The 15,394-nt window shown below is 42.5% G+C and overlaps 1 protein-coding gene across 1 annotated transcript in view, besides 4 other annotated features; it reads right to left on the bottom strand.

The window, feature by feature from the left end:
• Window positions 1-15,394, bottom strand: part of PIWIL1 (piwi like RNA-mediated gene silencing 1) — an 88,374-nt gene that overhangs the window by 32,145 nt on the left and 40,835 nt on the right. The gene's annotated exons all lie outside the window — the stretch shown is intronic.
• Window positions 667-1,866: an enhancer, noted in NCBI's record as "BRD4-independent group 4 enhancer chr12:130876795-130877994 (GRCh37/hg19 assembly coordinates)". NCBI's record gives its function as "activates an origin of replication core promoter dependent on BRD2, P300/CBP, MED14 and CDK7 cofactors, and independent of BRD4, by STARR-seq in HCT116 cells {active_cell/tissue: HCT116}" and the evidence as "EXISTENCE:reporter gene assay evidence [ECO:0000049][PMID:35650434]".
• Window positions 667-1,954: a biological region, named in NCBI's record as "BRD4-independent group 4 enhancer GRCh37_chr12:130876795-130877994".
• Window positions 1,454-1,954: an enhancer, noted in NCBI's record as "H3K27ac hESC enhancer chr12:130876707-130877207 (GRCh37/hg19 assembly coordinates)". NCBI's record gives its function as "activates a minimal SCP1, AML or CMV promoter by ChIP-STARR-seq in naive H9 embryonic stem cells {active_cell/tissue: H9 hESC(naive)}" and the evidence as "EXISTENCE:reporter gene assay evidence [ECO:0000049][PMID:30033119]".
• Window positions 1,955-2,455: an enhancer, noted in NCBI's record as "H3K27ac hESC enhancer chr12:130876206-130876706 (GRCh37/hg19 assembly coordinates)". NCBI's record gives its function as "activates a minimal SCP1, AML or CMV promoter by ChIP-STARR-seq in naive H9 embryonic stem cells {active_cell/tissue: H9 hESC(naive)}" and the evidence as "EXISTENCE:reporter gene assay evidence [ECO:0000049][PMID:30033119]".

Here is a 15,394-nt window from a genome sequence, read left to right as displayed (position 1 = left end):
GAGGAGCTATGCAGAGAGAGTGCCGAGAAGGCCCAGGTACAGGCTTTCCACCCACATGCATGGTAGGGGCCTTCTCTACCTTTAGAACCTTACCCCAAAGACGTCAATAAGGAATCCGTAAAATACATACAGCAAACACAAAATGCCCAACTTCACTAGCTGAAGAAATAAAAACTAATAATGCAAAATTTTTCTGCTCCAAAGTTACCCAAAAGCCAAACATGAAACCGCTGATATTGGGGAGGATGGGAGCTCCTGCCGTGGGGGCTGCAGTCTCTATCGTGTGTCTTACGCACTTGGCCAAGTGACTTTCTAAAGCCTTGAACGTGTGTGTTTATGTCCTTTAACTGAATCTCATTTCTAGGAATCCAACTGAAAAGAGATATCTAGGCAAGGATTTAAGAACTAAGAAATGTATCACATTATTATAATAGTGAAAAGTGGTAAATTCACAAAAAAATCCAATACCGGTCTAGTGAAATCATAGCTATTCATCACAGGATTCAACATTCACCAGGTAACTGACACACACACGTGAGGATGGTGACTGGGTCATCACAACATTCAGTATTCACCAGAACTGATGCACCCACGTGATGACGGTGACTGGGTCATCACCACATTCAGTATTCACCAGGTAACTGACGGACACGTGATGACAGTGACCGGGTCATCACAACATTCAGTATTCACCAGGTAACTGACGCACCCACGTGATGACGGTGACTGGGTCATCACAACATTCAATATGCACCAGGTAACTGACGGACACACGTGATGATGGTGACCGGGTCATCACAACATTCAATATTCACCAGGTAACTGACGCACACATGTGATGACGGTGACCGGGTCATCACAACATTCAATACTCACCAGGTAACTGACAGACACACATGATGACGGTGACCGGGTCATCACAACATTCAATACTCACCAGGTAACTGACGGACACACGTGATGATGGTGACCGGGTCATCACAACATTCAATATTCACCAGGTAACTGACGGACACACGTGATGACGGTGACTGGGTCATCACAACATTCAATATGCACCAGGTAACTGACGGACACACGTGATGACGGTGACCGGGTCATCACAACATTCAATACTCACCAGGTAACTGACGCACACACGTGATGACGGTGACTGGGTCATCACAACATTCAATACTCACCAGGTAACTGACAGACACGTGATGACGGTGACCGGGTCATCACAACATTCAATACTCACCAGGTAACTGACGGACACACGTGATGACGGTGACCGGGTCATCACAACATTCAATACTCACCAGGTAACTGACGGACACACGTGATGACGGTGACTGGGTCCTCACAACATTCAATATTCACCAGGTAACTGACGGACACACGTGATGACGGTGACCGGGTCATCACAACATTCAATATTCACCAGGTAACTGACAGACACGTGATGACGGTGACCGGGTCATCACAACATTCAATATTCACCAGGTAACTGACAGACACGTGATGACGGTGACCGGGTCCTCACAACATTCAATATTCACCAGGTAACTGACAGACACACGTGATGATGGTGACTGGGTCATCACAATATTCAATATTCAACAGGTAACTGACGGACACGTGATGACGGTGACCGGGTCATCACAACATTCAATATTCACCAGGTAACTGACAGACACGTGATGACGGTGACCGGGTCCTCACAACATTCAATATTCACCAGGTAACTGACGGACACATGTGATGACGGTGACCGGGTCATCACAACATTCAATATTCACCAGGTAACTGACGGACACATGATGACGGTGACCGGGTCATCACAACGTTCAATATTCACCAGGTAACTGACGGACACGTGATGACGGTGACCGGGTCATCACAACGTTCAATATTCACTGGGTAACTGATGCATCCACGTGATGACGGTGACCGGGTCATCACAACATTCAATATTCACCAGGTAACTGACGGACACGTGATGACGGTGACCGGGTCATCACAACGTTCAATATTCACTGGGTAACTGATGCATCCACGTGATGACGGTGACCGGGTCATCACAACATTCAATATTCACCAGGTAACTGACGCACACACGTGATGACGGTGACTGGGTCATCACAACATTCAGTATTCACCAGGTAACTGATGGACACACGTGATGACAGTGACCGGGTCATCACATTGAATATTCACCAGGTCACTGACGCACGCATGTGAGGACGGTGACTAGGGGGAAAGGCTCTCGTGGTCACAGGCCCTTATCAGGAGCAGCATCTCTGTTAAGGTTCAAGGACCCCTTACGCATGCCCCCATGGGTGTCGCAGGTGGCCTGTCTGCATCCTCACCCCTCTCTGGCCCTTCTCCATTTTCTCTGACACTCAGACCCTCTCTGCTGGCTTGGCCTCATCTACCACAGCTGGTGTCTGCCTCCAGCCTCCCTACCATTCTGCTGGGGTCTTTGCCTCCAGCCTCGTGACCATTCCGCACTTCACAATCCCTATTCCATTTAGTTACCAGAAGAAGAAGACACATGTAAGTAACCATACAAATTGAAAATAATAAAGCTTTTTTCTAGTCCCTTCTTAAAAGACTTCTCTGGGGATAGAGTAGGAGGAAAAGGGACGGGGGAGGAAAGGGTTAAACAACAATGCTGCCTTCTGATAGCATTTGATGAGCAGTCACCAAAACAGCTGCCTCTAATTTTCCAATAAAATCCTTGTAGAGATGGCTGGACTTGCGTCAGATTTGGGGCGTAATCTCCACACACTGTGAGGGAAAAGGAGAGAGAGCACGGCCCCAGCGAGAATTTCCAGCGCTGTCTCACCCGCGTTGTTCCTGAAGACATTGTTTCCGAAGCGGAGACGGTGAGAAGGCAGGCGGCCTCACCTTGGCGAGAAGCCGGGGCTCAGCAGCCCTTCCTCTTCCTCAGGCCCATGTGCTGCTGGTTGTCCCTCATCCAAATCAGCAACTCCTGAGGAACTTAGTAGGAAGCAGGGAGAGAACAGTGAGACGCCCACAGCCATTCTAGGGACACAGCCCTGGAGTGCGATCCACACGACAGAAGAGGGGAAAGAGGGCGAGGGCCCCGGGGACAGCACCTGCTGGGACTCTGATTTTCCATATGTGCCAGTGCACAGAGAACTATGTGGGGAAGGCAGGAGGCTTCAAAGCAGTGAGACAGGGACCAGGTAAGTTGTGCAGGCACCGGTCCTGGAGAAGAAGCTGCCCAGCAGGTGAGAGACAACGACCAGGCCAAGCCAGCCCACCGTCTAGCCCAGTGATGGGTGGGCCGCATACAGCCCTCACCTGTTTGAGAGGAGAGAAAGAAAACAACAAAAAGAAAGGGTGAAAGGGAGGGAGGGGAAGAGGAGCAGAAAGAGAGGGAACAAACCAAACAAGGTCTATGACAAATGACTTCAGAGTAAGGGGTAGGAAACAAGACATGAGATCCTTGAGTCAGAGACAGAAGATGTGGTCAGAAGCAAAAAGAGTATAACTGGTACCCATTGCCCAAGCTCTAATTCCAAAGGAGCAAAGTGAACGGGACCAGTGATGCCACACACACACAGGTGGCTGAATTGGAGCAGGGGAAACCTGGGCTGAGGGACCCCGGAGTCCTTTATAATGGGCAGTAACCTTGTCTGACTTTTGCCCTGAAGCAAGATATTATTTTTATGACGCTGGCCTGTAAGCATGCCTGCCCTCTGCTCTGAAGGGAGACACCATCTCTACCTTCTGGGGCAGTCTGCTGTACAAACAACCTCACAAACATCATCTGGACAAAGGTAGTCAGTACTGCTTCTCACCAGACAGGTAGAAACACAAGACAGTGGACCACTGTCTCACAGCACTATTTTCAAATGTATTACATTCCAAAACCTGGAAATGAAGACATCAGAAAAGATTAAAATACCTATTCTATCTGCAGTACTAAGAGTACGAAGCTGAGTAACAGAAAAAAACTTGTTACAAAACTAAAATACTAATCACAGTGCTGATTAGATTGAACAATACACCAGAAAATCACAACTAAGCTTGGTTACTATTTTTTAAAAACTTGGGGTTCATGTTAGGAGCTCTGGTTTCCAACAACATGGTAAATTAACCCTGGCTACTAAGTGGAAGTTAAATTATCAAATGGCACTAACTTAGAAATTTTATAAAATACACTTCTAAAGAACCCGTGTATCAGCTATAGAGAGAGAGAGCTGGATTACAATGAAAGCACGACAAGCTTGCAGGATGCAGGGAAAGCAATGCTTCAAGGGAAATTTATAACTTTATACGAGAAAAGACACACTAATGAACTTAAGATGTTAGATAGGAAGAAAAGATAACTGAAGAAAAGAGATAAAGAGTAGAAGCCAGTGACACAGAAAACAACAATACGAAGTTGATGTGAACTAACTTTGAACTAGACTAAAGGAAATACAGCTGGAAAGGCTGATCACAACAAACAGAAGATGTTAATAATACTTTTAAATTAAAAAGAACATAATCATACAGCCGATTTTATAAAGATGAAGTATTATCAACTCTCTATTAATAAATTAGAAAACCCAGAAAAAAATAGACAAATGCCTGGAAAAAGTGTAAAATAATGACACTGATTAATAAAAAATTGAAAGCTTAAAAAAATGATAAGTACAAATGAAACCAAAGTAATAGTTAAATTTTTTTCCATAAGAAAAACTTCAGGCCTAGAGAGTTTAACAAAAAGAATCCTACCAAATACTCAGATCACCCCAATCTTATATAAACCCTTCCAAAAAATAAAAAGACAACACCCTTCAAGACATTTTAAGAGAAGTGTATACCTGGATACAAAACCAAAGATAGTAAGGAAATGAAAAAATTATAAGCCCATTTCATCATGAATGTAAGTGTAAACACTCTAAACAAAATGTTAGCAAACAAAAGCCAATGGTATATTTAAAAAAAAGAACCAAGTTAGTTTATCTCAGGAATGCAAGAATGATTGAATCTGAGAAAATCTTAAACTAACATGAACTATGTTAACAGAATAAAAGATAAAAACCATATTATCATCTCAATAGATATAGAAAAACTAAAAAAACTCAACAGAAATGCCTTTGAAAGCTCTTAGAAAGCTATGAATAAATTGTTAACCTGGTAAAAGGTGTTTATAAAAATCCTATAATGGATGTAATCTTAAATGGAGAAAATTTAATAAAGTGAAAGCATAAAGATTGGAAAGAAGAAAACAGAATTATCATTGTTTGCAGAGGATACAACTGCCTACATAGAAAACACAAAATACTACAGGCAAATCATTAGAAATAAAAGTGTATTAAAGCAGCTAGATGTAAGATCAATATTAAAAAGCTCAATTACATATACTTGTAAAAATTAGAAAATATAATCCTTAAAACATTTACAATGGCAACTCTAAAAGCACTTAGGAATAAATCAAACAAAAATGTACAATATCAGTACACAGAAAATTATGAAACTTTATGATGAAAGACATTTTAAAACTCAAGTAAATGGGATAATAAGCCATTTGGAGGATGGTAAAACCTAAAATCGTAAAGATTGTTTACTCTCCCTACATATTCCTATTGATTCTATGCAATTTAATAAAATCTTAAACTTTTCATGAATGTTACAAATATATTCTAAAATCCATTTGGAATCATAAAGGAAAGTGTCCTACCAGACATCAGGATGTAGGTAAGTATAGTAATTAAAACAATGGGATGCTGATACTGGGATAGATCAACTAACTGATCAATGACAAATGGCCCTTCACATTTATGGGGCTGTGATGTGTGAGTGAGGTTTAAATGGAAGATCAGTGGAAAAAAAGAAGCCAGGCAAGGTGGTGCATGCCTGGAGTCCCAGCTACTCGGGAGGCTGAGGCAGGAGGATCACCTGAGCCCAGGAGTTTGAGGCTGCAGCAAACTATGATTGTGCCATTGCAGTTCAGCCTGGGTGACAGAGCGAGACTCAAAAAGAAAAACCAAAATGAAAAGAAGACATTCTTCAGGAAAGGGACATGGAGGTGGAAAACGACTATGCATTCCATATGGAGAAAAGGGAAATTGTTCCCTTATTTTAGACCATGCAAAAATCAACTCGCTCTACTCTAGAGATTTAAAGTTATAAACTTCTAGGAAAATACAGATGAACATATTTCTGACTTTGGGTTAGAGCAAAAGTTTTAAAACACAGAAAACTCTGTCTATAAAAGAAAAACTGGCAAATTTGGACAAGGATATGCTGTAAATTTTATTAAGTTCAAAACCAACTAAAAATAAATAGTAATTAATACTGACCCATGTACATTTGTTAAAACTTTTTCAACAGGCAAGGGAATGATAATTTCAACAGCATCCACTTTGGCAGCAGAGAGGTCAGGAGACAGGAAGGGGTGGTGTGCATGGGTGAATGGAGACAGGAAGGGGGTGGTGTGCATGGGTGAATGGAGACAGGAAGGGGTGGTGTGCATGGGTGAATGGAGACAGGAAGGGGTAGTGTGCATGGGTGAATGGAGACAGGAAGGGGGTAGTGTGCATGGGTGAATGGAGACAGGAAGGGGTGGTGTGCATGGGTGAATGGAGACAGGAAGGGGAGGTGTGCATGGGTGAATGGAGACAGGAAGGGGGTGGTGGGCATGGGTGAATGGAGACAGGAAGGGGTGGTGTGCATGGGTGAATGGAGACAGGAAGGGGGTGGTGTGCATGGGTGAATGGAGACAGGAAGGGGGTGGTGTGCATGGGTGAATGGAGACAGGAAGGGGGTGGTGGGCATGGGTGAATGGAGACAGGAAGGGGTGGTGTGCATGGGTGAATGGAGACAGGAAGGGGTGGTGTGCATGGGTGAATGGAGACAGGAAGGGGGTGGTGGGCATGGGTGAATGGAGACAGGAAGGGGTGGTGTGCATGGGTGAATGGAGACAGGAAGGGGGTGGTGTGCATGGGTGAATGGAGACAGGAAGGGGGTGGTGTGCATGGGTGAATGGAGACAGGAAGGGGTGGTGTGCATGGGTGAATGGAGACAGGAAGGGGTGGTGTGCATGGGTGAATGGAGACAGGAAGGGGTGGTGTGCATGGGTGAATGGAGACAGGAAGGGGGTGGTGTGCATGGGTGAATGGAGACAGGAAGGGGGTGGTGTGCATGGGTGAATGGAGACAGGAAGGGGGTGGTGTGCATGGGTGAATGGAGACAGGAAGGGGGTGGTGTGCATGGGTGAATGGAGACAGGAAGGGGTGGTGTGCATGGGTGAATGGAGACAGGAAGGGGTGGTGTGCATGGGTGAATGGAGACAGGAAGGGGTGGTGTGCATGGGTGAATGGAGACAGGAAGGGGGTGGTGTGCATGGGTGAATGGAGACAGGAAGGGGGTGGTGTGCATGGGTGAATGGAGACAGGAAGGGGGTGGTGTGCATGGGTGAATGGAGACAGGAAGGGGGTGGTGTGCATGGGTGAATGGAGACAGGAAGGGGGTGGTGTGCATGGGTGAATGGAGACAGGAAGGGGGTGGTGTGCATGGGTGAATGGAGACAGGAAGGGGTGGTGTGCATGGGTGAATGGAGACAGGAAGGGGTGGTGTGCATGGGTGAATGCAGACAGGAAGGGGGTAGTGTGCATGGGTGAATGGAGACAGGAAGGGGTAGTGTGCATGGGTGAATGGAGACAGGAAGGGGTAGTGTGCATGGGTGAATGGAGACAGGAAGGGGTGGTGTGCATGGGTGAACGGTGGCTATTGCCATGGTTTAGTTCCAGGATTGGGAGATGGGCTCAAGGGGGCTTATTATTAAGGATAATTATTTCCTTATTATCATTTCCTTATTAATAAGGAAAATAAAAGATATGCAGGGGTCAATGATAAACTCTTGTAAAACAAGGATTATGACAGCTCCAATTCTGAGCATCTTAGCCTTTCTAAAAGTAAAAATGAAAAAAGAAACAAACAATCTACTTATTCCTGTCTTAACTTCTCCCATGGCATCCAAATAAGAGGATCAGAGACAAAGTCTGAAGCAAACCACAACATTCCCAAACCACAGCATGTGTGGTACTGATGGCGGTGGGTTAGGTCTTTGGACAGACCTGCACAGGGAGATTCAGAAGAACATGCAGCAAGGAGCTTCAGAAAGTTTCATTTGAAAAACAGACATCTATTAAGATAGACAAGTAAAGGACTGATATGTTTTTAAGGCCAGATTTGCAACTTAAATATCATTTCAGTCACCTGGTAAAAAGAGCATGACTTTTGATAGGCATAAATTTAAAATTGGAGGGAAGGGAGGAGAAGTAACATTTTTCAACAGCTTTAATACCCAGTTTCTGAATTTTTGGGACATCACTGTATCCAGAAAGCCCCGAGCCACAGATTTCAGTGCAAATGTCAAATAACAAACATGTCTGTTTTGCCTTAAAATCTCAAGACACTCCTCAAACTGATCCGGAAAGCTGAAATAATAAGTTCTTATCATCTCTGAATGTGCATGCAACTGCCCTGAGGTGTGGAACATGAGAACTTCGCAGCCAATGAAACATCTATAAGCCGTTCACATAGACGCATCTTCAGGAAAACAGGTTAAACTGCATCATATATTAAAGCAGTACTTACATTAAGTTAAAAATATATTTGAGTGGGTGTTTTGTTTCACAGTTAAGTAGGTAACTATGTTAAAGAGTTACTAAAATCAGGCATTTGATGAACGAAAGCAGCACAGCAAATGAACTGGAGCAAAGTCTAAAAAACCCACGTAAGGATGTTATGAAATAATGATTTCAACAGTAGCTCATGATAATGTTTCAACAATGAAGAAAGTACTTTAAAAGACAATTTTGAATTACACAAAACACTTTAAATTCCATCCAATTACAAGCTTTAAGAAAGCTTCTGAAAATAAATCTGCAGCACTGTGGACAGGCTGGTAAAGTGGGCAGAAATATATTAACATTCTTTCTCATCACCAAGCCAACTAACTACACACTTCATTATCTATGGAAATGAAAACTAATAGTTCATCAAAAGCAAAGACTAACAGCCCTGCAGTATAAAAATCATAATAGTGTATTATGGTGAGCGTGGAAGAGGGAGAGAAAATGCACAGCAATTTTACCGAAAAAGAGATGTTGTGTTTATTGTTTCGGGGAATTTTCTCTAAAATATCTTTCCCTTCTCCAAAATATTTCAAATACAAAAACTGGAAAATGAAACTGATAATAAAACAAAGAGTAAATAACTTCAAGATGAGCAACTGTTAGATTTTTTATTTTTTAAAAAAGTCATCTTTTTATTTTTTAAAAAGGTCATCTATTTAGGGTCTCCCCTCAGGAAGATAACATGTTGGGAGGCATTAGAGGACAAAGGTGGACAAGACTCTGTTGGTTTTCTATGACCAAGGTTTGTTTTAAAAGATGAAAACATACAATAGTTTGAGTATCTGTCCTTTCATGGCCAAGCTTGTATAAAACCACGATGCACCCCAGCAGCTCTTCTGGAAACATGCTGGGCATCCCAGGAAACACTTCATATGGTAATCAATAAAGCTCCTGACTTTGGACTTCAAGAGGTGCCATTCAACGTATGTCATTAACATGTTCTTGTTGCTTTATGGGTGAACATCATTTTGTACCATTTGAAGCAGCATTCACCCGTGCCTATGTGCTGGTACTCAGCGTCCTTATCTGGCATGTATTCAGAGCAATCCTGATGATCTCAACTCACTGGCAACAGACATCAGTTAAAGCTAGGCCAGTGCCTAACTTCTCTTAAAACCTGGACAAACTGAAAAACTGAACCAGATTTCATTAATTACAAATTTATTGCTTATTCTTCCCAAAATGAGTTTTCCTGAACATAATGGAAATGGCCATTTCAACAAAACAAAGTGCTGAAAGGATAGCAGTTAATGTACATGCCACACACACATCTGTTTGAGGGTTACTGTCTTCATTCGCTTATGTATCAACTGGATTATACTGTAAGTCTAATAACGTTCACCAAAGAGACATTTATAAAAGGGAAAATAAAAATCAGGAACAACCAAAATTTCTAGCAGTGGAGGAACACTAAACAGAGTATGGAAGATTTGTAGTTTGGAAGACTATGCACTCATTAAAAGAAGAGACATGTCATGACACAAAAGATGTTCATGATAATTTTATATGAAACAGCAAGTTATAAAATAGTATGATCAAGTTTCTGTAAACACAAAAATATACATCTATAGAATAAAACAAAAGGGGTCAAAAGAATGCTGTTTCTGCAGAATGACAGAGATTTGTGTTTTATTTTGCATTTGTATTTCCAGAAATTTCTACAGTGAAACATAACTTCTGTAATAAGCACATGTTAAAGCAAATATGCCTCACCACAGGCTAAATGCTTTAACAAAAATTACGTAAAATTTGAAAACCACACGATAGGTTTCTAAGAACCAGCCAGGGGCTGGTCTATTTAGCACTTGATGCCTCTATAATTTTTGTCTTGGGTACGTGCATTTAAAAAGCGCCCCAATCTGGAGTGGGAGGTGGGGAGCTGCTGAGGCTCACATACTCTTTGGGCCGCGCTATCACTAGCAAATCTGGAGAAGATCCCTGACTGCAAGAAGCCCCATCATTATATTAGAGGGAAGTCAGAGACATTTTACCTTGGCTTTCCTGTAGGCAGATCATAGCACTTCAAGTTCTACCACAAAGATACAGCTATTCGATCCCCAGGAAATCCAAGTGGGGGCTCTGGTTTGCTGTTGGAACTCCTAGTCACTGACCCTGATTCCTTGTCTCAGGAGTAAAGCTGCCTCCGATTCTCATAGGGAACACGTCTCCTCAATTTGTATTCTAAGCCAGCTACTGCCTGCAGGCCCTGGTCAAATTAACTTGTCCCTCATGAAATAGCCTCACCCTGGGCATATCCTCCTGGTGGAACGCAATTTGTACAAGAAAAATGCAAATCTATTTATGCATCTCCAATTCAATAAAAACTGGAAGACTTACTATGGGTTAATTCAATTAAGAATTTTTCACTCTGGACAACGGTAAAGACTTGATATATAAAAGCTGCACAGTCTGGAACTGATAAAGCTTGCAATCTATCTTGTTGAGTAATCATGGAAAGGAGAATTTTGTTTACACCTAAGTTGAGAAACAAAGTTCCTAAAATGCACTTAAACAAATATTTAACCTAACCAAACATGTGTAAACTTTCTTACTATTTCAGCTTTCCAAAACACTGTACTACTAAAATTGGTTTTAAAAATAAAAGCATACTTAACTTGGGCTTTCTGTAGTATTATTTGACTGAAACTATGTAGAGTTTAAGGCAAAAATTCAACCCAGGTTTTGGCCAATATAACAACAATTAAACAGTATAAACCTTGGGGTGGGGGGAAATGAGGTAAAGGGGAGAGAAGAGGAAGACATTGAAGCTCATTAGCCTCAGCACTACAGAAATTATGAAGACACCTGATTTTATCAATGATTTACTGAGAATTCCTGAAAAGCCTAACAAAGTTATTACTCAGAAAATCATTTTGCTTGTCAATGTGGCAGTTTGCAAATGGAGAGAATGGGGTTAAAGTGACGACAAATCCATTTGGCCAGCAAGTGGCTCTGGAGCACTCACATCAGAAACTGCCGTGGGCACAGGCTCAGACCACGGCGGCCCAGGCCCCTAAGCAGCATGGTGGTCAGGAAGAGGGTCAGGGAATTTTTGTTGAAGTATTTAGCCTGCAGAGGCAGCAATGAGGAGAACTCAGTGGTTCACAGGTCCAGGCTTACCAGACCCGGGAGGCAGCTAGACGACTCCGGGGCACAACACACACTTTAGGAGCTGCAAGTGGATTCATAGGGTTGGGACCCAAGGTCCACATGGGAAGTGACCACTGAAGATATAGGTTGATCCAGATCAGGAAGGGCCTCGTGGCCCCTGCTAACAAATTTTAATTCTCCAAAGGCAGTAACTTTACCCAAACATCAAACACCTCCATTCTACCTTCAATTGCTCCCATAACTAAGTGCCACCTAACCTGTTTTTTAAAAAGAGGATTCAATATATTTGCAAAAGACCTATCTGATAAAGGACTGTTATCTAAAATATGCAAAGAACTCTTACAACTCAACAATGAGACAACAGCCTGATTAAAAAAGGGGCCAAAAACCTTAACAGGTACCTTAGCACAGAAGACACACAGATGGCAAGTGTGCATAGGAAAATATGTTCCATACCACATGTCCTCAGGGCATTGCAAAGTAAAATGACAATATGACACCATTACACACCTATCAGAATGGCCAAAACCCACAATGACAATAGCAAACGCTGGGAAAGACGTGAATTAACAGGAACTCTCATTTGTTAGTGATGGGAATGCAAAATGGTACGCCATTCTAAAAGACAGGCAGTTTCTTACAAAACTAAACATAGTCTTACCTTACGAAGCACACTGCTTGGTATTTACCCAAAGGAGTTGAAAAGGTGTATCCATACAAGAACCCGCACAGAGATGTTTATGGCAGTTTTATTCATATTTGCCAAAACTTGGAAGCAATCAAGATGACTCCTTCAAGCAAGTGCATGGATACATGTACTGGTACATTCAAATAATGGAATATTAGTCAGTGCTAAAAAGAAATGAGCCACAAAGACACGGAGGAATCTTAAATGCATATTACTGAGAGAGAGAAGCCAACCTGAGAAAGTTACATACCGTGTGATTCAGAATGTATGACATCTGGAAAAGGCAAAACTATGGAGACAGTGAAAACATGAGTGGTTACAACGGGTTGGAGGGGAGGGAGAAATGAACAGGCACAGCACAGGGAGGTGTTAGGGCCATGAAAGGACTCTGTGTCGTCCCATGATGGTGGACACATACATTATACATCCGTCCAAATCCACAGACTGTCCATAAAAGGACTGTTATCCAAAATACGCAAAGGGAAGGGCACAGGCAATCTCTCAAACTTGACGGTAGATACAGGAGTGAACCCTCATGTGAACTGTGGACTTGGGGCAATCATGATGTCACTGTAGGTTCATCAAGTGTAACAAGGGAACCACTCTGGGGGGTGGGATATGTTGATATGGGGGAGGCTGGGCCTGTGTGGGTGAGGGGAACACATAGGAATTCTACCTTCTACTCAATTTAACTGTGAGCCTAAAGCTCCTCTAAAAAATAAAGTCTAGTAAAAAAAAGAAGACTCATTGGACTTGCTTCTTAGTTCTACCTAGGGCCTACTTTGTTTGGCTTTGTTAAAATCAAATGATGAGCAAATGGAGGTGCCAGACACCCCAACAACAAGAGAGACTTTCTCCTGCACATAATCAACAGTAACATAATTGAAAGAAAAGAAGTTCCTCAACACATGATTCTGTGTTACTTAAGGCCCTTTTATCTTGAGTACTACTTTCAATCATCTTCCACTTTTTGGGGAAGACAACCCAGGGCAACTGGAATTTGGACAAGTATAAAAAAGCTATGTGACATAAGAAATCAGCTAACAACATGCCTTCAAATCAGTCAGACAAATACGGTGTCATCCTTAAATGTAAAATCATCTACAGTTTCTCCTTACTCAACCTACTCAATTTTTTCAAAGGATAAGGGATATTCCACAGAGTTCTTTGCCTTTCCCCTCCACCCCGACACCTTAGTGGTCCTCTTGGTTTCAGAGGCTCAGCAATTTCCCCTTCTTTACTTCTAGGCAGGATGAAACCAGGTTCATGACATTGGTCTTTTTTTCCAGTTTGAAATTAGTAGTAAAAATACAAAAGTAAAAAAAAGTTGGGGGGTGGGGGGAGAGGTTGCTAGAATATATGCAAACCAAACAATGGTTACTGCTTGGATGGGAACTGGGATGAGGGAGTTGAAGGAATTGTCAATGCTTGGATGGGAATTGGGATGAGGGAGTTGAAGGAACTGTCAATGCTTGGATGGGACTTGGGATGAGGGAGTTGAAGGAACTGTCAATGCTTGGGTGGGAAGTGGGATGAGGGAGTTGAAGGAACTGTCAATGCTTGGATGGGAATTGGGATGAGGGAGTTGAAGGAACTGTCAATGCTTGGATGGGAAGTGGGATGAGGGAGTTGAAGGAACTGTCAATGCTTGGATGGGAACTGGGATGAGGGAGTTGAAGGAACTGTCAATGCTTGGATGGGAATTGGGATTAGGGAGTTGAAGGAACTGTCAATGCTTGGATGGGAAGTGGGATGAGGGAGTTGAAGGAACTGTCAATGCTTGGATGGGAACTGGGATGAGGGAGTTGAAGGAACTGTCAATGCTTGGATGGGAATTGGGATGAGGGAGTTGAAGGAACTGTCAATGCTTGGATGGGAACTGGGATGAGGGAGTTGAAGGAACTGTCAATGCTTGGATGGGAACTGGGATGAGGGAGTTGAAGGAACTGTCAATGCTTGGATGGGAACTGGGATGAGGGAGTTGAAGGAACTGTCAATGCTTGGATGGGAACTGGGATGAGGGAGTTGAAGGAACTGTCAATGCTTGGATGGGAACTGGGATGAGGGAGTTGAAGGAACTGTCAATGCTTGGATGGGAACTGGGATGAGGGATTTGAAGGAACTGTCAATGTTTGGATGGGAACTGGGATGAGGGAGTTGAAGGAACTGTCAATGCTTGGATGGGAACTGGGATGAGGGAATTGAAGGAACTGTCAATGCTTGGATGGGAACTGGGATGAGGGAGTTGAAGGAACTGTCAATGCTTGGATGGGAATTGGGATGAGGGAGTTGAAGGAACTGTCAAGGAAGCATTTAGGTTTATTCAATGTGGTTTGAATTTCAATAAGAAAAAAATTTGTACAATTCTTTTATTTGACAAATGTGTGAGTGTCTGCTATGTGCCAAATAAATTTTAAAAGAATGAAGAAAAAAGGCATTATTTATAGATACCAGTACCAGGTACAAATGAAGTCAACTGCCAAACTTACATTAAAGTAAGTCTATCTCACCCTACAGCGAATTAAACAGCTAAGGAAGATACTTTTTTCCAAATACTATTCCAAATATTATTTAGTAAACACTGCAAGTCAGAATACAAATCAAGAACTTTGGCAGCCTTTTTTGACAATTACATTTTCAACCATGCATGAAGCACATCGAAGAGTAGGAAGTGTTAAGTCCTCACCAGATGGTTCTCCCCCATCAGTGGACTTTGAAATCCAGTTGTACAAACATCTTCTCTTCGAATGATACTTAAGAAAGCAAAACAGCAAGCCAGAAACTGGAAGGAAATATTCACAGTGCATGTCTACAACAAAAGATTTGTATCCAGAATACATAAACAACTTTTACAACTCAATAAAATACTTTTAAAATGTGCAAGAGATTTGAACAGACATTTCATAAAAGAAGATGTAAGAACGGCCAACATGTAAACAAAAAGATGCTC

The sequence above is a fragment of the Homo sapiens genome, chromosome 12 (genome assembly GCF_000001405.40).
Source record: "Homo sapiens chromosome 12, GRCh38.p14 Primary Assembly".
NCBI classification, from domain to species: Eukaryota; Metazoa; Chordata; class Mammalia; order Primates; family Hominidae; genus Homo; species Homo sapiens.
This window is presented reverse-complemented; position numbering and strand designations above follow the sequence as displayed.